The sequence below is a fragment of the Homo sapiens genome, chromosome 19 (assembly GCF_000001405.40).
Source record: "Homo sapiens chromosome 19, GRCh38.p14 Primary Assembly".
In the NCBI taxonomy this organism is placed as follows: Eukaryota; Metazoa; Chordata; class Mammalia; order Primates; family Hominidae; genus Homo; species Homo sapiens.
This window is the reverse complement of record NC_000019.10, coordinates 39962558-39983465: the sequence shown is the minus strand read 5'-3', so window position 1 is coordinate 39983465 and position 20908 is coordinate 39962558. Positions and strand designations below refer to the sequence as shown.

The window sequence follows — 20908 nt, the reverse complement described above, 5'->3', positions numbered from 1 at the left end:
CCTTTCATTTACTTATATATTTCAGAATCAGTTTGTCAGTTTCCAGCAGGACAAAACTGCTGGGATTCTGATTGGCGCTGCGTTGTTTATAGATCAATTTGTGGAGAATTAATATTTTTACTCGTAATCTTCCAATACATTAACATGTTGTATCCCAACATTTATTTGTCTTCTTTGATTTCTGTCAATATTCTGTAATTTTAACTATTTATATCTCATATTTTAAATTTATTCTTGGCACTTAAGAATTTATTTGATAAATGTTATAATTTAAAATTTAATTTCCTATTTATTTATTGCTGATATATGTATTTGATTTTTTTTCAGAGACAGTGGGTCTTGCTGTGTTGCCCAGGCTGGACTTGAACTCCCGGGCTCAAGCAATTCTCCTGCCTCAGCCTCCTGAGTAGCTGGGACTGTGGATGCATGTCACCATGCCTGGCTTATATTTAATATTTTATATTGACCTTTGTTTAGCCACATTGCTAAATTCACTATTTAATTTTAATAGGTTTTGTGTAGACTTAGATTTTCCATATATGCAATCATGACATTTGTGAATAATGAAGAGTTTCATTTCTTTTCCAGTCCCACGCCTTAATTTTTTTTCTTACCTTATTGTGCTAGGTGGAACTTCAAGTACATTTATGTATGTAACTATTAATTTTATTGAGGTATCAATAAAACTACAATAAATTAGGTACAATTTGATAAGTTTTGACATACACACTTGAAAAACCATTACCACAGTAAAAACAAACAAGCAAAAAAACTAAACATGTCTATCACCTCCTACTTTTTTCTCTATAATCCGTCTCACCTGCCCCAAGCCCCATATACCATTGGTATGCTTTGTTACTTAGATTAGTTTGGATTTTCTAAAACTTTATGTAAATAGAATAATACATTATGTATTATTTGTTGTCTGGATTCTGTCACTCAGCATAATTATTTTGAATTTCACGTTTTTGCATACATCAGTAGTTCATTTTCATATTACTGAGTGGTGTTATATTGCATACAAATATTACAATTTGTTTATCCATTCACTTGCTGATGGATATTTGGGTTGTTTCCAGTTTTAGCTATTTCAAATAAAAATAATGAGAACATTTATTTACAAGTCTTCATATGGATGTATGCCTTATTTTTTCTTAAGTAAATACCTAGAAGTGGCTAAATCATCTGATAGGTGTATTTTTAGCATAAGAAATTGTCAAACTGTTTTCCGAAGTGGCTTACCATTTCACATTCCCACCAGCAGTGTGTAAGAGTTCCATTTCTTGACCAGGCACAGTGGCTCACGCCTGTAATCCCAACAACTTAGGGAGGCCAAGGCAGGCAGATCATTTGAGGTCAGGAGTTCGAGACCAGCCTAGCCAATATAGTGAAACCCTGTCTCTACTAGAAATACAAAATTTAGCCGGGTGTGGTGGCAGATGCCTGTGGTCCCAGCTACTCGGGAGGCTGAGGCAGGAGAATCACTTGAACCTGGGAGGCAGAGGCTGCAGTGAGCCAAGATCTCACCACTGCACTCCAGCCTGGGTGACAGAGCAAGACTCCATCTCAAAAAAAAAAAAAAAAAAAAAAAAAAAAAAAGTTCAGTTTCTCAGTCATGCTAGCCATATTTCAGGTACTTATTAGCCACATGTGGCGAGCAGCTACCATACTGGAGAACACAGAACATATCCATCATTGTGCAAAGTTCTACTGGACAGCACTGGACATCTCCTTCCTATGAACTCCCAAGGCCTGTGACCTGAATTTCTTTACTGTCTTTTACCTGTAGGAAATGAGGGAGATGCACAGGGCTTTATCCCGTGATTAAGGACTCCATCTCAGGTTCATTTTCCATCCCTTTCCCCACATTTTGGAAGTCATCTGGTTTGAATATTTTGGTTCTCTCAAGCTGCAACCCAGGCCATGCACCTCGTCTGCTCATCTGTCAGATTAAGAGGGACCCAGAGGATCCTATTCAAGGCCCACATTCTCCAAAGGAGTTAAACTTCTAAGAAGAAATTAAATGGATTCGATCTTATCTATTTATTGAAGAAACCAATCCTGGGTAAAGAAAAAAGGGAATGAGGTTTTGGGACAGAGGTGCTGGGGGTGCGAGAGAAGCCCCAGCCCCTGAGTGGTGTGGTGGAGGGAAGGGAAGGGTCACTTGTAAAACTCATGCTCCTGCTCGTCCTTCTTGATGACAGTCTTGTATGCTTTCTCGAAGTCCTTGGCCAGGACAATGTAGCGGTTTTCACGGACAGCCAACATTCCACTCTGTTGAAGGATGAGAGTTAAAATCTACTTCCTGTGGCAGGGCACAGTGGCTCACACCTGTAATCCCGACACTTTGGGAGGCTGAGGTATACAGATCACTTGAGCCCAAGAGTTCGAGACCAGCCTGGGCAACATGGTGAAACCCTGTCTCTACAAAAAATACAAAAATTAGCCAGACTGGTGGTGGGCGCCTGTAATCCCAGCTACTTGGGAGGCTGAGGTGGGAGGATCACTGCAGTGAGTCATGATTGCCCCACTGCACTCCAGCCTGGGCGACAGAGTGAGTCCCTGTCTCAAAGCAAAACACAAAAACACTACCCCTGTACTATCCACCCCTAGTGATGGTAGAGGAAGAGAGAGATGGCGCCCACGACCCAGGGCAGCCATGAGGGGACAGGACTGCAGCAGAGTGGTTCAGAGAAGAAGGGTCCTCACACACCCGCTGCCTGGATCCAGAGAGAAACCACCACTTACCTCCTGACAGATGGAGTTAATATCAGCTCCTGAAATCTTATCTGGCCGGGCCACATCTGCAGCGAGTTAAGGAAACTATTCCCTGTGTGATGGGGTAAATGCCTGGGGCTGGAAGTCATCTTTGGCCATCTCTGTCACCTCCCCTCCTCCCTGGACCTTGGTCCCACCTGCACAGTCTGGGCTGTGGTGCTGGCAGAAGTTGAGCTGAAGATCTAATCCCCGTTCCCAACTAGGGCCCCTCCCTGACTTCTGGAGCAGGATACAGTCTTCCAAGTCAACCTCCTCAGAGAGGTTCATCTTGCTAGTGATAGTGGAGAAAATCAATCTCTTCTGGCGGCGGTCAGGAAGTGGAAATTCAATTTTACGGTCCAGCCGTCCTGGCCGTAGCAGGGCCGGATCCAGGGTGTCTGCTCTGTTTGTGGCCATGATTACCTGACATTGGGGGGCAGGCCAGCTCAGATCTCTGCACTCCTACCTCCTTCCTGTCACGATAACCACCCCTTAGGTGCCAGCCCCCAACTTTCCCCAGTTCCTACACCACACCTCCCCTTGTCCATCCCAAACCCCAAACCTTGACATTGACATTCTGATCAAATCCATCCATCTGATTCAGCAGCTCCAGCAGGATCCTCTGAACCTCCCTGTCGGCTGAGAGTGCACAGCACAGTCAGTCCCAGGCATCCCATGCGACAAGCCTGTCCAAGACCCCGGGCCTTGTTTCAGCATCACTTACCCCCTGTCTGAGCATCGAATCTCTTGGTGGCGATGGCATCAATCTCGTCTATGAAGATGATGGCAGGTGCATTCTCCTTGGCCAGGCGGAACACATCCCGGACCATGCGGGGGCCCTCACCCAGATACTTCTGTACAAACTCCGAGCCCACGACCCGGATGAATGCAGCTGATGACAGGATGACAACAGTTAGGCGGGAATGAGCCTCCTGAGGGGCCCATTCTGCTTTAACAGAAACTGCGAATTCCTTGAAGACATCCTTTTCCTTGGATACCCATACCTAGTAGTTGTGTCATTCCCTCATGCCCAAGGGTGAGCCCCACATCCAGCCCTGAGGAATAGCCATCTACTTGTACCCCACAGTGACCCAGTGGCCTAAATCATGAATCATCCTTACAAATGTGTCACTTTTTTTTTTTTTTTGGAGACAGAGTCTTGCTCTGTCGCCCAGGCTGGAGTGCAGTAGCACAATCTCGGCTCACCACAACTTCTGCCTTCAGGGTTCAAGTGATTCTCCTGCTTCAGCCTCCCGAGTAGCTGGAATTACAGGCGTGCACTGCCATGCCAAGCTAATTTTTGTATTTTTAGTAGAGACGAGGTTTCACCATGTTGGCCAAGCTGGTCTTGAACTCTTGACCTCAAGTGATCTGCCCGCCTTAGCCTCCCAAAGTTCTGGGATTACAGGCATGAGCCACCATGTCCAGCCAGATGTGTCATTTTTTTGGCCCAACATTTAAAAATCAGGATATGAAATACTAAAATAAGAAAGAAAAAAACCAGTCTACATTTCTGGAGCACTTGCAAAATCAGCAAGAAAACAGGCATGCTGCCCATACACTAAGACATCATACTGCCTCGCCAAGAGCTCTGAGTTCCTGTTTGCTATAAGGACCAGCTTTTTAATTTCCTGAAAAAGATCAGGGACCACGGGCATGTTCTGATATAACTGACAATTGGCAATGGGGTTGAAGACAGATTTGTTCTGGGCCCTCCCTTTGGACTTGGAGTACAGTGGTATCATCATAGCTTACTGCAGCCTCAATCTCCTGGGCTCAAGCAATCCTCCCTCTTCAGCCTCCCGAGTAGCTAGGACTATAGGCATGTCCCCACACCTAGCTTTTTAAAATTTTTGAGGAGATGGGGTCTTGCTATATTGCTCAGGCTGGTCTCAAACTCCTGGCCTCAAGCGATCCTCCTGGCTTAGCCTTCCAAAGTGCTGGGATTATAGACATGAGCCACCCCATGCTTGACCCTGGCCTTGTTTCTTAAAGTTACACTTGTTTCTTAAGGATCAGATGCTTTGTGTTGTATGAAGCATACCCCCAGGACTCTCCTTCCAGCCACCAGAGAAGGGAGACATGCAGTCCATAGATAGACTGAGTGGTTTTATGTCATAAGCTAGGAACTGTTCAAGGCTTCAGCCCTGCCCTGTTCACTCCCTAAGATCCAGACTTTACACCTGGCTCAAGGGGTCCCTCTTTCTTGATACTTGCATCAGCTGGGGGCTCATTCAGCATCCTAACCTCAAGATTTCTGACTTTTTCTGCTCTAAACAGAAAACACACCTTGACCACCTGACTTTGGCCATTTACTTGGCTGTTCTGCAAATGTCCAACCAGTTCCACATGAAACCCCCATCCCTGGAATTGCCTTATCTGACCGAGCCTGTCCGTCAGCCTTTCCTACTCAATCACTACAGTCCCCTTCCTACCCCAACCTTCCCTGTCCTCCCAATCTCTCAGCTCCCCCTGGGCTCTACTACTCCTTCCACCTATCCTGGAATGGGCTCCTGCTTCAGTTACTCACTCTTAGTAAGCTGTGCTGTCACCGGAACAAATAGATGAATTCCCCCCGAAAAACAAGAGGAAAAAAAGGCTCACACCTGTGATCCCAACACTTTGGGGAGCTGAGGCAGGAGGATGGCTTGAGCCCAGGAGTTCAAGACCAGCCTGGGCAACATAGCAAGACCCTGTCTCTACTGAAAATGAAGATACAAAAATTAGTTGGGCATGGTGGCACACGCCTGTAGTCCCACCTACTTAGGAGAGACAGGTGGGGAGGATTGCTTGAGCCCAGGAGATTAAGGTTGCAGTGGGCTATGATCACACCACTGCACTCCAGCCTGGGTGACAGAACAAGACCCTATCTCTCTTTTTTTTTTTGGAAACAGAATCTCGCACTATTGGCCGGGCTGGAGTGCAATGGTGCGATCTTCGCTCACTGCAACCTTGGCCTCCTGGGTTCAAGCAATTCTCCTGCCTCAGCCTCCCGAGTAGCTGGGATTACAGGCGCCCACCACCATGCCTGGCTAATTTTTTTGTATTTTTAGTAGAGATGGGGTTTCACTATGTTTGCCAGGCTGGTCTCGAACTCCTGACCTCGTGATCTGCCCACCTCGGCCTCCTGAAGTGCTGAGATTATAGCCGTGAGCCACCGCGCCTTGCCAGACATGACCCTGTCTCTAGAAAACAAAACAAAACTCAACCCCAGTCAGCAGCTTTTCCCATTTCTACATCCCTTCTACACCTTCTCTCTTCCCTCCCTCTGCCAGTGACAAACCACCCCAATTCACTCAGAAAAACGACAGAACCTGAAGTGAGGGTCTCTAGTGGGAAAAGCTGGTAAACTTTGAAGGAGGTCTAAACTTTAGTTCATTGTATTGTACCACTGTTAATTTCCTGGTTTTCCTAATTATACTATGGTTACATAAGATAGTAACATTAGGGAATCTGGGTGAAGGGTACACAGGGCCACACTGGAAGATCTGTCTTGGGCCACACATAAAATACACTAACACTAATGATAGGTGATGAGCTTAAAAAAAAAAATCACAGCCGGGTGCAGTGGCTCACGCCTGTAATCCCAGAATTTTGGGAGGCCAAGGTGGGTGGATCACCTGAGGCCAGGAGTTCGAGACCTGCCTGGCCAACATGGTGCAACCCCATTTCTACCAAAAGTACAAAAAAAATTAGCCAGATGTGGTGGCATGTACCTGTAATTCCAGCCACTCGGGAGGCTGAGGTAGGAGAATCGCTTGAACCCAGAAGGCAGAGGTTGCAGTGAACCAAGATAGCACCACTGCACTCCAGCCTGGGCTACAGAGTGAGACTCTGTCTCAAAAAAAAAAAAAAAAAAAAATCACACACAAAAAATCTCATGTTTTAAGAAGGTTTACGGGCTGGGTGCGGTGGCTCACGCCTGTAATCACAGCACTTTGGAAGGCCCAGGCGGGCGGATCATGAGGTCAGGAGATCTAGACCATCCTGGCTAACACGGTGAAACCCCGTCTCTACTAAAAAATACAAAAAATTAGCCGGGCGTGGTGGCGGGTGCCTGTAGTCTCAGCTACTCAGGAGGCTGAGGCAGGAGAATGGTGTGAACCTGGGAGGCAGAGCGTGCAGTAAGCCGAGATCGCACCACTGCACTCCAGCCTGGATGACAGAGCAAGACTCCATCTCAAAAAAAAAAAAAAGAAACTTTACGAATCTGTGTCGGGCCACATTTCCAACTAAGACATCACCTCCATAAGGAGGTGTTCTGTTTACTGCCACGTCTCTATTCTTTTTTTTTTTTTTTTTTTTTTGAGACGGAGTCTCACTCTGTCACCCAGGCTGAAGTGCAGTGGCGCCATCTCGGCTCACTGCAAGCTCCGCCTCCCGGGTTCACGCTGAGTAGCTGGGACTACAGGCGCTGGCCACCACGCCCAGCTAATTAATATATATATATATATATATATATATTTTTTTTGGAGATGGAGTCTTGCTTTGTCGCCCAGGCTGGAGTACAGTGGCGTGATCTGGGCTCACTGCAAGCTCCGCCTCCTGGGTTCACACCATTCTCCTGCCTCAGCCTCCCAAGTAGCTGGGACTACAGGCGACCGCCACCACACCTGGCTAATTTTTTTGTATTTTTAATAGAGACGGGGTTTCACTGTGGTCTCGATCTCCTGATCTCGTGATCCTCCCACCTCGGCCTCCCAAAGTGCTGGGATTACAGGCGTGAGCCACCGCGCCTGGCCCATGTCTCTAGCATCTACAACACATCCTGGCACATAGTGGGTGTTCAATAAACAGTCACTGAATGACTGAGTTCTAGGTGTCTTTTTCTTTTTTCCCAGTCAAGGCAAGGGACATCTCTGATTGTCATCTTTGCATTCCAGCACAAGGCTTGGTACAGAGTAAAAGTTCAATAAAGTACCAAGCAAATGAGTAACAATGACAACAGCTAACATTTATTGCCCATTCCAGATGCTTTGTATCAATTTGCTCTTCTGAACACCCACCCTAGAAAAATAGGTACTATGATTGTTTCCATCTGACAGGTGAGGAAACTGAGTCACAGAGAGGTTAATTTACCCAGGATCACATAAGAAGTTGCTGGGGGAGTAAGATTTCAAAGCCAGGCAGTCTAGCCCCAGAAAACATACTGCTTAACTACTACCTCCTACTGCTCCCTGGCTCACATGTGTTAAGATCTGAACATATGCTTAAGATTTTAGGGCTTTAAAAAAAAAAAAGTTATAGAGTGAGTGACTTTCAGACATTTTTGTCTGGCACCTACAATAAGAAATACATTTTTGGGGCCAGGCACATGGCTCACGCCTGTAATCCCAGCACTGTGGGAGGATCCCTTGAGCCCAGGAGTTCAAGACCAGCCTGGGCAACAGAGTGAGACCCTATCTCTACAAAAAAATTTAAGAATTAAAATATATATATATATTTTTGAAGAACCACAAGTATACATGAGTGTGCACATCTGTATGAAACAAGTTTCACGAAACAGATGAACTTGCACCATATATACTTGTACCATGGTATAAATACCATGTGGATGTTCTCTGGCGCTTTCTGTTCTATTTCATGTTTCAAAATACTGGCTGCAACCCACAAATTGAAATTCATAATTACTAATAGGTCACAACCCATTGTAGGAAAACACTGCATTATTTCATTAACTGCTCACTATCACCGGGTGAAATGAGTCTTCAACTACTAGGAGAGGCCCAAGGAGGTGAAGTCAGCACAGCCAGTAACATGCACACGTGGGCTATGACCCCAGAGTCTGTTTCTAATTACTGTGCAGTGCCAGTGAGCGAGCAGGGAGCAAGGCGAAGAGGCCAGAAGATGAGAGCTCGGGGCAGGGGCGAAAGGGCTCACCTGTTGTGTGATGTGCCACCGCCTTTGCCAACATGGTCTTCCCACAGCCAGGTGGGCCATACATGAGGACGCCTCGGGGGGGATCGATGCCGATCTGAAACCCAGAGGAAGGAAGAGAAGTGGGAGTCAGGGGTTCCACCTCCAACCCCAGACCCAATGGGGCCTCTCCCTTCCCTGCCACCTGCACCGCCTCACCTGCTTGTAGAGCTCGAAATGCGTGAGCGGGAGCTCCACGGCCTCCCGCACCTCCTGCTTCTGGATGTCCATGCCTCCGATGTCCGCGTACATCACATCTGGCTTCTGGTCTGGTGGGAGAGCAGAGCTGGGGCTCCTGGCCAGGTCCTCAAGGTCCCCATGGGGCCCTCCCAGCTGCAGGCTCCCCCTTTACCTGAGGTGAGCATCATGATGCTGCTGTCGGCTTCGGGGGGCAGCACGTCCACCAGTGCATTGCTGTGCTTGTGGAGGGCCACTGAGGCGTTGGGCTTGAGCAGCTCCCGATCGATGGTGCTCAGGATGCGCACATAATAGTTGGAGCCTGCGAGAAGGGAGAGAGGAAAACGAGAAGTGTCAGCCTGGAAACTGCCCCTTCCCCCTTCCTCCCTCCTAATCTCCACACCCCAACATCTCTGGTTCAGACCCTGAGGGGTCCCCTCTCGGCCTCCAGCCTTCCCTCCTGCTGTCCGTCCCCAGTATTCACACGAACTCCTTGTCTACCGCCCTGATTCTCTCTTGACATCCAGCCCTGGCTGTCCAGCAGGCCTCCCCCTGCATCTCATACTAGTGAGGCACACTTCTGTTTCCAGGCTCAGTCTCTCTCCTGATTGTCAGACCTGGCTGACCAGCAGCCTCCTGGACACCTCCCATGTGCTCTGGACTGCCCTCCCTGTCTTCCCACAAACCTACTCCTCTACCCATGGTGCCATCTCAGGGAAAGCCACACTATCCCAACTCCCACAGGTCAAAGAGAAAGGCCTCATCCTGGATACCACCCTCTCCTCACTTCCTCATAGCCCACCAGTCCAATTCCAGGCACAATCGCACACCTTTCTCCAAAACCTTTACAAGAACATGGCTTGGTCCAGAGGAGCAGAGCCCAGAAACAAGAAAAAACAGATAAGATGCCAGTGACAATGACTATCAAGAGGGCAAGGCCTAGACCTATATAAACAGCAGCAGCTACAATATACTCTGATAAGGACTCTGAGTCCCTATCAGGGCCCAGTATTTTTTTTTTTTTTTTTTTTTTTAGACAGAGTGTTGCTCTGTCACCCAGGCTGTAGTACAGTGTCACGATCTCGGCTCACTGCAACCTCCACCTCCTGGGTTCAACAGATCCTGTGCCTCAACCACCTGCGTAGCTGGGATGGCAAGTGTGTGCCACCACACCCAGCTAATTTTTATATTTTCAGTAGAGACGGGGTTTTGCCATGTTGCCCAGCCTGGTCTCAAACTTCTGGCCTCAAGTGATCTGCCCACCTGAGTCTCCCAAAGTACTGGGATTATACGTGTGAGGCACCATGCCTGGCCTCAGAGCCCAATCTCTTAACACTCCTACTCATCGTTTCAAACTGCAGGCCCCAAACCAGTAGTAGTTGTGAAATCAATTTGGAAGGTCATGACCAGAACTGTGTTTAAAGCAAAACAGACTAGAATAGGATAGAAAACATCAGCATATACCACACCTAGTAAGGCTAAATATTTCATGGTGAAACTTATGTTTTACACATCTATCTAAAAAGTAAGAGACAGATACAGATAATCACAATGTAAAATACATTTCTGGCCAGGTGCAGTGGGGCTCAGGCCTGTAATCCCAACACTTTCGGAGGGTGAGGCGGGTGGATCGCCTGAGGTCAGGAGTTCAAGACCAGACTGGCCAACATGGTGAAACCCTGTCTCTACTAATAATACAAAAATTAGCCAGACTTGGTGGTCCATGCCTGTAATCCCAGCTACTTGGGAGGCTGAGACAGGAGAATCGTGTGAACCTGGGAGGTGGAGGTTGCAGTGAGCCGAGATCATGCCATTGCACTCCAGCCTGGACAAGAGCAAAACTCTGTCTCAAAACAAAAAACAAACAAACAAAAAAAACATAGATATACATATATATATGTGTATATATATATATATGTATGTATTTCTACCTTTCGATCAGTCAAAATACTCTGAAGAACATTGCACTGCACTGCCCTGCCTTGTTTGCTGCTGCCTAGCACATGGTAGGAAATAGTTGTTAAGTGGACAGATGAATGAATGAGGTGTCCTTAGCACACCTGTGGTAGAGCCCACGATGGCTGTATTCTGATCCACAGCCTCCAGAAATTGTCCGATGACCAGCGGGATGCTTTGGATTCGCTTCACCTCCTCCTGGGCATGGAGAAATTCCTTTTTCAGGTTCTTTTGCTCATCTTTGATGTATTCCTCCTGCACCTCCAGGAACTCCAGCTCTTGCTGCAGCTTCTGCGAGCAGAGAGGGGACAGAAGGGGATGGCTCCAGACTTGCTGATCCAGAGAGTGGTGGAAAGTGGGGAAGAGTATGAGATGTCAGGTCCTGTGCAAGGTCTGGGTTGGGGGTCGAATGTACCTTGTAGCGGCTGTACAGGTCCTCCAGGTCCTCAGGCTCAGGGCCCAGGAAGGACAGGCCGGTCTGGGGCCGGGACACGGACAGTGCTGGGATCTCATCCTAGACGAAAGGGGATAACTCACATTGGAAGAAGACAGTCCTCTCATGAAAGCTTCCCAACTTCACTAATGTTTGTTCCCCTCCCCACTTCACCCTGATGTCACTTAGCCCCTAACAGACCCCTGATATCTTAAGACCCTCTAAATAGATCCTGGAAACCTTTTGGCCACCTAAACAAGCTCTTTATGTCAACTTGCCCCTCAAACAGATCTTATGTTATCATATACCACTCATAACATGTCCCCAGTGTCACACAACCCCCAACTAGGATCTAAACGTCACATCAACTCCTTATCAGACCCAAATGCCACCCAATCCCCTTCAAGAGGTTCCTAATGTCACATGGCTCTCCTAGATAGGCTGTTAAAGTGACTGCGCCTTCAACGAGTCCCAACATTCCCCAGTTTCCCCTCAAAGATCCCTTATGTCACAGTCTCCTAACTCACCTTAGACCTAAATATCACTCAGGCAAGCCACAGATAATACTTAACTACCCGCCCCATTACCCCCATCAGCAAAGCCCTGAACATCAGTCAGCCCCGCAGCCCAGACCCGGGGATCACTCGGCCGCACGGCGGGATCCCATATATCACTCACCGCCTGACCCAATCCCAACGCCGGGCCACCGACCTCACTAAGCACTACCGGCCAGGGTTCGAAATCAATCCGTCTCAAAGACCCACTAACGTCACTCACTCCCCCAGCCCCGCTTTCTGAGCCTTACCTCCTACCATCACTCGGCCACCCAGACAGGCCTTCGAATGGCACAAAGCTCTCCACCGAGGCCTCTAAAATAACCCCAACCTGGGCCGGGGTCCTGGAAGCCATTCCTCCCCCCACTCAGGTCTGGCTTCACCCTCTCCCCGCGAGCCCGGCCCGGACTAAAAAGCCCAAGTCCCCACTGTACCTGAGCCTTCTCCACCAAGATGCCTATCTCCTCCATAGTGACCAAGCCGGCCTCTGTGTGGCCTGGGATGATCTGTCACCGCTTCCGCTGACGACAACGGAAGTCCCTGGCTGAGGAGGCTTCTGGGAAGTGTAGTTTAAGTTACGGCTGAGAGGTGCTGGAAGGGCAGGATAGGACGAAGGGCTGGTCTGGGCTCCGCCCTCAACATAAGCTCATGCGCTGTCCGTACCCGCAGGCGCGAGGGCGGGACGGGAGCTGTGGGCGTGCGCAGTATCACGCGGTGGCGCCATCTCGCCCTGCCGTGGAGGGCTGGGGGTTCTCTCCGGGAGGTGGCGCAGCCCCGTTGCTCTTTCAACGGAGTAAGTTCGCAGAGCTCTGGCACGGACAGTCTGGCGGCCAACTGCTCTTCGCTTTCTAGTGTCTGGGCTGGAGGGTCCTTGAGCTGGGTTCCACAGAAGGGATTGATCGTACGGGCGGGTAAGGTCTCCACGTGGCGCTGATCCAAAGATTGTGCGCCGCGCGGGCGTGGGAAGATCCGAGCTGCCCCTGAAGGTGACATTTCATACTGGGCTTTACCCCGGGATTGAGGAGCCCCGAGCCCGCAGTGAGCAACCAATCGAGTAGAACCCACGCGTCTGGGCTGGGGAAAAGGAGGCAGCGAGTGCCCAGAAGTTGGGTAGCACAGGAGATCCATAGACCTTAGTTCTGTATCCCAGGTTTCCGCCTTACAGATCTATGCCAGGTCCTGCGCTTAAGCTTTACAGGCATCATCGTCGCAAGTATTATGTTTCCTCATTTATAGAGAAGGAGACAAGCTCAGAGCCACGAAGCCACCAGCCACAGTCAACAATGTGCCGAAGGGACAAAGCATAGATTGGGACCCAGGTCTGTCTGTCCCCAAAGCCTGTACTCTTGGCCCCAGGGAAACACTGCTACCCTTCACACCAGCTACAATTTTTGTTAAGTAAACCTTTTATTGAAGTTAAATAAAGAGAAGAGCACAAATCATTACAGCTCGACAAAATTACACAAAGTGAACATGCCCATACAACCTGAATCCAGATCGCAAAACCAAACAGTAGAAGCCTCATGTGCTCCCCTTTCCCCCATCCCTTCTTCTCCCCCCTCCACTCCCCGCCCCGAGACGGAGTCTCACTCTGTTGCCCAGGCTAATATTTGTATTTTTAGTAGAGACAGGGTTTCACCATGTTGGCCAGGCCGGTCACAAACTCCTGACCTCAAGTGATCTGCCTGCCTTGGCCTCCCAAAGTGCTGGGATTATAGGCGTGAGCCACCACATCCGGCCTCCCGATCCCTTCTAAAGGTTATCATTCATCTGTTTTTTTCTTTTTTTTTTAAGAGCTAGAGTCTCTGTCGCCCAGGCTGGAGTGCAGTGGCACGATCATAGCTCACTAGAGTCTCCAACTGCTGGCCTCAAGCTATCCTCTCTCCTCAGCCTCTGAAAGCACTGGGATTACAGGCATGACCCACCCCATGTAGCCTTTAAAAATATATCTTTTGAAAGAGATTCTTGCTCTGTTGCCCAGGCTGGAGTGCAGTGGTGAGATCACTACTCACTCCAGGTTCAACCTCCCAGACTCAAGCAATCCTATACCTCAGCTTCCCAAGCACCTGGAACTACAGGCGTGTGCCACCACGCCTTGCTAATTTTAAAATGTTTTTTGTAGAGATAGGGTTTCGCTGTGTTGCCCAGGCTGGTCACGAACTCCTGGACTCAGATGATCCTCCCACTTCAGCCTTCCAAAGTGCTGGGATTACAGACATGAGCCACTGTGCCTGGCTGGACTCGCCCTGACTTGTAACAGCTGGGTTACTTTTGTTTGTTTTGAATTCTCCTTCTCTCTAGACCAGTACTCTGTGTACTGTGTTTGGTTTCTTTTAGTTAATGTTGTTTTTGTGAGATTCATGCATACCGTGTGTAGAAATAGTTCTTTCATTTTCATTCTGGATGGTTTCCATTTTATGACTATGCCCTATACCTCAGACTGGATATTTTCCAGTTTAGGGGTGTTATAGTGCTATTGTTACTGGGGGTCCTTGTTCTTAGAGCTCCCAAGATGGTGGTGGGCCGCTTCCAAGATGGCAGTAAGTCTCTTGTTCTCTGACCTGGGGTTCTTGGCCTCACGGATTCCAAGGAATGGAATCTTGGGCCATGCGGTGAGTGTTATAGCTCTATTCAGCTCGATTAGGAGGAACCCCGGGCACTTAGCCCGCGCAAGAACAATGGTGAGCCTCTAGCCCAATTGGGAGCGGCAATGGGTGCCGCCTCGCTGGATCAGAAGTGCAGTGGACACCCGGATCCGGAGGGGTGGAAGTCAGCGGCAGGTCTGCCACAGCTGCCATGGCAGCAGACAGCAGCGGTGGACAGTGAGCGAAAGCTCAGCTCAAGCCATAACAAACACAGACCAGAAGAGTGTACAGTTGCAAGGTTTAATAGAGTGAAAACAGAGCTCCCATAAAATGGGAGGAGACCCAAAGGGGATTGCCTTGCGGGCTCCAGTGCTGGGTTATATCCCGCCGATCATTGTCCCTCTCTCTGTGCTCTCAGGCGTTAGATGATTGGCTATTTCTTTACCTTCTGTTTTTGCCTAATTCGCATTTTAGTGAGCTCTCTTTACTACCTGATTGGTTGGGTGTGACCTAAGTGGCAAGCCCCTTGTTTAAAGGTGGATGCGGTCACCTTCCCAGTTGGCTTAGGGATTCTTAGTCGGCCTAGGAAATCCAGCTAGTCCTGTCTCTCACTATGAATATTCTAGTACATTTCTTTGGACAAACTTACGTATTCATTTCTTCTGAAAATAGATCCCCCTCCCAAAGAAAAACAAAAACAAAAACAAAATAGACCCAAGTGTGGAATTGCTGGTCGTAGGGCAGGTATGTGTTTAGCTTTAGTAGACACTGTCAGACTGTATTAATTTACACTCCCACCATTTGTATGTATACTCTTGATATTTTGTGTGTTTGGACATTGTTTTCTATTTGGTGGATGGATCATGGGTTGTCACACGAGACACCACTTGCGCATTCACTTTTGGCCAGGAAAATTCCAAACCATGATCTCATAACAGCCCTCAGAGGTAGGTTTGCTTTTCCTCATTTTACAAATGAAACTGAGGTGCAGACAGGGGAAAGCCACTTCCATTAAGTTACAAAGAGAATTGGTGGCTCCTGCTCAGTGGAGATCACTGAGTAGGGAGGATCACTCTGCTGGGAGAACCCAGAGATTCATTAGATCTGGCTCCTGCCTTTCTTAAAGTCCTAGTGTCTGTGTTTCCACAAAAAAAAGGAAAACGACAATGACAATAAATCTTTTTGTTTTCCTCTGCATGAGCAACTCTTAATTCTGTAAGTTTTTTTTTTTTTTTTGAGACAGAGCCTTGCTCTGGCGCCCAGGCTGGAGTGCAGTGGCACAGTCTCGGCTCACTGCAACTCTGCCTCCCAGGTTCAAGTGATTCTCATGCCTCAGCCTCTGGAGCAGCTGGGACTACAGGCGTGGGCCACCACACCTGGGTAATTTTTTGTATTTTTAGTAGAGACGGAGTTTCGCCATGCTGGCCAGGCTAGTCTCAAATGCCTAACCTCAAGTGATCTACCCTCCCAAGCCTCGAAAAGTGATGGGATTATAGGCGTGAGCCACCGTGCCTAACATGGGCAATTCTTAATTCTGTATCCCAGGTTTCTACCTTACACCCAAAAGGCAACCTTGATTTTTACTTGAGACTTAGAATCTATTACTTAAAATGGAATCCATCATCTTGCCCCTGGCCTCCCATCCTCCCTGTTTCCAGGCTTCAGACTGAAACTCATCTGAGAGCTTTGCCTTTATTCCCCTAAGCCCAAATAATTGCCAGGTTCTCTCTGGCCCCTTTGGTAATGACAAATCAGTGTATCCCTTTGGAATTTTTATGGATAATAATCATAAATAACCATTTCCTGAACACTGACTATTGTCAACTAAGACAAAAATCAGGCCAAGTGCTCATTCCTGCTCCTATAATCATCTCAGCACTTTGGGAGGTGCAGGCAGGAGGGTTGCTTGAGCCCAGAAGCTCAAGACCACCCTGGGCAACATAGTGAGACCAAAAAATGTTTATAAAAATTAACCCAGCATGGTCGTGCGCCCGTAGTTCCAGCCACTCAGGAGGCTCAGGGGGGAGAATCACTTGAGCCTAGGAGGTCAAGGCTGCCAGTGAGCCAAGATTGTGCCACTGCACTCCAGCATGGGCGACAGAGTGAGAGACCCTGTCTCAAAAAAAAAAAAAAAAAAAAAAAAGGAAAGAGAAAAACCTACTTTTAGAGAATTAAAGTTAGTTTGATTCAGAAGTCTTACTGAGGATCACAACCTGGGAGAGTCTTTCAAAGTAACCGTTGGACTGCTCCGGAGGGTTTCAGCCTGCGGTTTTTATACAGGTGGCTGCAGCTCATGTTCTCAGAAGTTACATGAGAGCAAAATCCCATCAAGGTTTGGGTGTGACACATAATCATTAATCCTCTTCGATATTTTCCTACACACGGGCAGAGGCAAGGGCTAGGATCAATGAACTTTTCTTTTCTTTTTTCTTTTTTTTTTTTTTTTTGAGACCCAGTCTCCCTCTGTCACCCAGGCTGGAGGGCAATAGCACAATCTTGGCTCACTGCAACCTCTGCCTCCTGGGTTCCAGTGATTCTCCTGCCTCAGCCTCCCAAGTAGCTAGGATTACAGGTGTCTGCCACCACGCCCGGCTAATTTTTGAACTTATCTTTTCCAAAATACAGTGATTTGGGCCGGGTGCAGTGGCTCACGCCTGTAATCCCAGCATTTTAGGAGGCCGAGGCGAGTGGATCACCTGCAGTCGGGAGTTCGAGACCAGTCTGGCCAGCATGGTAAAACTCAGTCTCTACTAAAAAATACAAAAAATTAGCTGGGCGTGGTGGCGTGTGCCTGTAATCCCAGCTACTCGGGAGGCTGAGGCAGAAGAATTGCTGGAACCTGGGAGGCGGAGGTTACAGTGAGCCAAGATGGCACCATTGCACTCCAGCCTGGAGACAGAGCAAGACTCCCATCTCAAAAAAAAAAAATCTCTTTTCTTAGAAATTTGAAAAAAAGGCCGGGTGTAATGGCTCACATCTGTAATCCTAGTACTTTGGGAGGCTGAGGCAGGTGGATCACTTGAGGTCTGAAGTTTGAGACCAGCCTGGCCAACATGGTGAAACCCGTCTCTGTTAAAAATACAAAAATTAGCCTGACATGGTGGCATGTACCACTGTGGATTCTAAGTCCAATTTATCAATTTTTTCTTTTATGAATCATGCTGTTGGTGTTGTATTTTTAAAAACCTTAGCCTGGTGAAAACTCACAAAGTTTTTTTAAATGTTTTCTTCAGAAGTTTGATAGTTCGATTGGCTGGGTGTGGTGGCTCACATCTGTATTCCCAGCACTTTGGGGGGCGAAGAAGAAGTTTGATAGCTCGATATTTCACATTTACATCTATGTTCCATTTCGAGTTTGTTGTTGTTGTTTTTGAGACAGAGTCTCATTCGGCCGCCCAGGCTGGAGTGCAGTGGTGCGATCTCAGCCCACTGCACCTCTGCCTCCAAGGTTCAAGCGATTCTCCTCCTTCAGCCTCTGGAGTGGCTGGGATCACAGGTGCCTGCCACCACGCTCGGCTAATTTTTGTATTTTTAGTAGAGATGGAGTTTCACCATGTTGGCCAGGGTGGTCTCGAACACCTGACCTCAGGTGATCCACCTACCTGCCTCGGCTTCCCAAAGTGCTGGGATTCCAGGCCTGAACCACTGTGCCTGGCCGAAGTTTCATCTTTTTGCATGTGAATACCCAGTCGCTCCAGTACCATTTATTGAAAACATTATCTTTTCCCACTGAAATGCCCTGCAGCTTTGTCAAAAATCAGTTGATTATGCATGTGTGTACATCTATCTGTGGACTCTTGATTCTGTTCTGTTGATCTAATTTTCTTTCTTTTTTCTTTTTTTTTTTTTTTAAAGATGGAGTCTCACTCTGTTGTCAGGCTGGAGTGCAGTGGCACAATCTCGGCTCACTGCAACCTCCGCCTCCCGGTTTCAAGAGATTCTCCAGCCTCAGGCTCCCGAGTAGCTGAGACTATAGGCGTGCGCCACCACACCCGGCTAATTTTTGTATTTTTAATAGAGACGGGGTTTCACCATATTGGCTAGGCCTGTTGGCTAGGATGTTCTTGATCTCCTGACCTCGTGATCCCCCAACCTGAGCCTCCCAAAGTGCTGGGATTACAGGCGTGAGCCACCGCACCCGGCCAGCATTAAATCTTATAATCTATGAACCTGGTATATCTCCCTATTTATTTATTTATTTATTTATTTATTTAATTTATATTTTGAGAGGGAGTCTCGCTCTTTCACCCAAGCCAGAGTGCAGTGGCGCTATCTCGGCTCACTGCAAGCTCTGCCTCCCAGGTTCACGCCATTCTCCTGCCTCAGCCTCCCGAGTAGCTGGGACTACAGGCGCCCACCACCGCACCTGGCTAATTTTTTGTATTTTTAGTAGAGACGGGGTTTCACCGTGTTTGCCAGGATGGTCTCGATCTCCTGACCTCGTGATCCGCCTGCCTCGGCCTCCCAAAGTGCTGGGATTACAGGCGTGAGCCACCAACGCCCGGCAATCTCCCAATTTATTTAGCCATTCCTTAACTTCTACCAGCAATGTTTTTTAGTTTTCAGTGTATAGGTCTTGTAAATCTTTTGTCAGGTTATCCCTATGTATTTCATATTTTATGATATTATAAATGTTATTAAAATTTTTTAAATTTCTGATTTTTGTTTCCTTATGCTTAAAAATATGATTGACTTTTGCACATTATTCTGTGATCTTGTAAAAATCATTTATTAGTTTTAGGAGTTTCTGTAGATTTCCTGGAGTTTTTTTTGTGACAACTATGTCATTAGTGAATAAAGACAGTTTTATTTTTCTTCCTTTTCAATCGACATTACTTTTGTTTCCTTTTCCTACTTATTACATCGGCCAGGACTTTCAGTACAATATTGACTAGGAGTGGTGAATGCAAACATTCTTTTCTTTGTTCTCAATCTTTGGTGGAAAGCATTTAGACTTCTAACATTAAGTGTCTTTCAAAATGCCCTTTTAGCAGATTAAGGAAGTTTCTTTCTCTTCTTAGTTTGCTGAGTTGGTTTTTTTTTTTTAAACCCTGAATGGATGTTCACTTTTTTTTTTTTGAAATGAACCCTTGCTCTGTCACCTAGGATGGAGTACAGTGGTGCCATCTTGGCTAACTGCAGCCTTCGCCTCCTAGGTTCAAGCAATTCTCCTGCCTCAGCCTCCTGAGTAGCTGGGATTACAGGTGCCTCCTACCACACCCGGCTAGTTTTGCATTTTTAGTATAGAGACAGGGTTTCACAATGTTAGTTAGGCTGGTCTCAAACTCCTGACCTCAGGTGATCTGCCTGCCTCAGCCTCCCAAAGTGCTGGGATTACAGGTGTGTGCCACCACGCCCTGCTAGATGTTCACTTTTGTCAAGAAAATTTTGAACAGACCTTGTATTCCCAGGATAAGCCCTACTTGACCATGATGAATTGTCCTTTTTATATTGCTAGATTCAATTTGCTAATATGAGGGATACTGATTTATAGTGTTCTTTCATTGTAGTGTCTTTGGCTTCTGGTATCAAGGCAATGCTAGCCTCATAAAACAAATTGGAAAGTATTTCTCCTCTTATATTTTCTGAAAGAGAATTTTTTAGAATTCATGTTATTTCTTTCAATAATACTTGATAACATTCTCCAATAAAACTGGGCCTAGAGATTTTCGGGGGAAGATATTTAACTATAAATTTAATTTCTTTAATAGTTCTAAGACCTCTTTATCTTGTTCATCTTTGGTGAATTGTGGTAGTTTGTATCTTTCAAGGGACTGATCTATTACATGTAAGTTGTAAAATTTATAGATACTGTAGTGATATCTCTTCTATCATTCCTAATATAGGTAATTTTTGTCTTCTCTGTTTTTTTCTTGGTTCGTCTGGTTAGAGGTTTATTAGTTGTATTGACCTTTCATAAGGAAAATTTTTGGTTTCATTGATTTTTCCTGTTTTTAATTTCATTGATTTCTGCTCTTTATTTTCTTTTTCCTTCAGTGCTTTGGATTTCATTTACTTTTCTTTTTCTACAATATTAACGTGGAGGGTTAGATTTGAGATTTTCTTTCATGACATATGTGTTTGCTAATATAAATTTACCCCCTAAAAACTGCCTTAATTGCTTACATACATTTTGTTATATTTTATTTTCATTAAGTGAAAAATATTTTCTATTTCTTCTTAATACTTCTTCTTTGACTCCTGGATTATTTAGAAGTGAGTGATTAATTTCCAAATATTTGGGCATCTCCTAGACATCTTTCTGTTAATTGATTTCTACTTTAATTCTATTATGGTCAGAGAAGAGTAGCATTGTTTTGCATTTTTGCAAATCTCTTTAATGTCCAGCTTGATGGAAAACAACTGGATCTTAATGTCTGCTTTTTTTTCTGCTTTTTTTTTTTTTGAGACAGAGTCTCACTCTGTCCCCCAGGCTGGAGTGCAATGGCACGATCTTGGCTTGCTGCAACCTCTGCCTCTCAGGTTCAAGTGATTCTCCTGCCTCAGCCTCCCACGTAGCTGGGATTACA

At 46.8% G+C, this 20908-nt stretch overlaps 1 protein-coding gene and 1 long non-coding RNA gene across 4 annotated transcripts, besides 3 other annotated features; one reads left to right on the top strand and one right to left on the bottom strand.

Moving 5' to 3' along the window:
* Positions 1-1701: 1701 nt before the first annotated feature.
* Positions 1702-12301, bottom strand: PSMC4 (proteasome 26S subunit, ATPase 4). 2 transcript variants are annotated; one of them, NM_006503.4, is made up of 11 exons: positions 12228-12301; positions 11222-11320; positions 10911-11097; positions 9026-9172; positions 8833-8942; positions 8638-8731; positions 3482-3649; positions 3320-3396; positions 3012-3180; positions 2749-2804; positions 1702-2274 (listed from the first exon to the last, which is right to left on the bottom strand). In NM_006503.4, exons 1-11 carry the CDS (start codon positions 12261-12263, stop codon positions 2161-2163), a joined length of 1257 nt encoding a protein of 418 aa, NP_006494.1. In that variant the 5' UTR covers positions 12264-12301; the 3' UTR covers positions 1702-2160. The 2 variants fall into 2 exon arrangements, with proteins under 2 accessions (NP_006494.1, NP_694546.1); NM_153001.3 differs by having other exon boundaries at positions 10911-11004.
* Positions 11338-12017: an enhancer, noted in NCBI's record as "H3K27ac-H3K4me1 hESC enhancer chr19:40477356-40478035 (GRCh37/hg19 assembly coordinates)". NCBI's record gives its function as "activates a minimal SCP1, AML or CMV promoter by ChIP-STARR-seq in naive H9 embryonic stem cells {active_cell/tissue: H9 hESC(naive)}" and the evidence as "EXISTENCE:reporter gene assay evidence [ECO:0000049][PMID:30033119]".
* Positions 12042-12431: an enhancer, noted in NCBI's record as "active region_14635". NCBI's record gives its function as "activates an Ori minimal core promoter by ATAC-STARR-seq in GM12878 lymphoblastoid cells {active_cell/tissue: GM12878}" and the evidence as "EXISTENCE:reporter gene assay evidence [ECO:0000049][PMID:35858748]".
* LOC124904720 (uncharacterized) lies at positions 12495-19208 on the top strand. 2 transcript variants are annotated; one of them, XR_007067260.1, is made up of 3 exons: positions 12495-12586; positions 13030-13112; positions 18234-19208. It is a non-coding gene; the product is annotated as an uncharacterized LOC124904720 (long non-coding RNA). The 2 variants fall into 2 exon arrangements; XR_007067259.1 differs by lacking the exon at positions 18234-19208 and having other exon boundaries at positions 13030-13235.
* Positions 12932-12981: an enhancer, noted in NCBI's record as "active region_14634". NCBI's record gives its function as "activates an Ori minimal core promoter by ATAC-STARR-seq in GM12878 lymphoblastoid cells {active_cell/tissue: GM12878}" and the evidence as "EXISTENCE:reporter gene assay evidence [ECO:0000049][PMID:35858748]".
* Positions 19209-20908: the final 1700 nt, after the last annotated feature.

Bases quoted from the DNA above. Each gene is read 5' to 3' on its own strand.
- PSMC4 (NM_006503.4), bottom strand. From the start codon at position 12,263: ATGGAGGAGATAGGCATCTTGGTGGAGAAGGCTCAG. The intron at 3,650-8,637 runs GTGAGCCCTTTC...TCCTGTCATCAG, and splicing joins GGTGGCACATCACACAACAG to CTGCATTCATCCGGGTCGTG. The intron at 2,805-3,011 runs GTATCCTGCTCC...AACTCGCTGCAG, and splicing joins GGAGGTTGACTTGGAAGACT to ATGTGGCCCGGCCAGATAAG.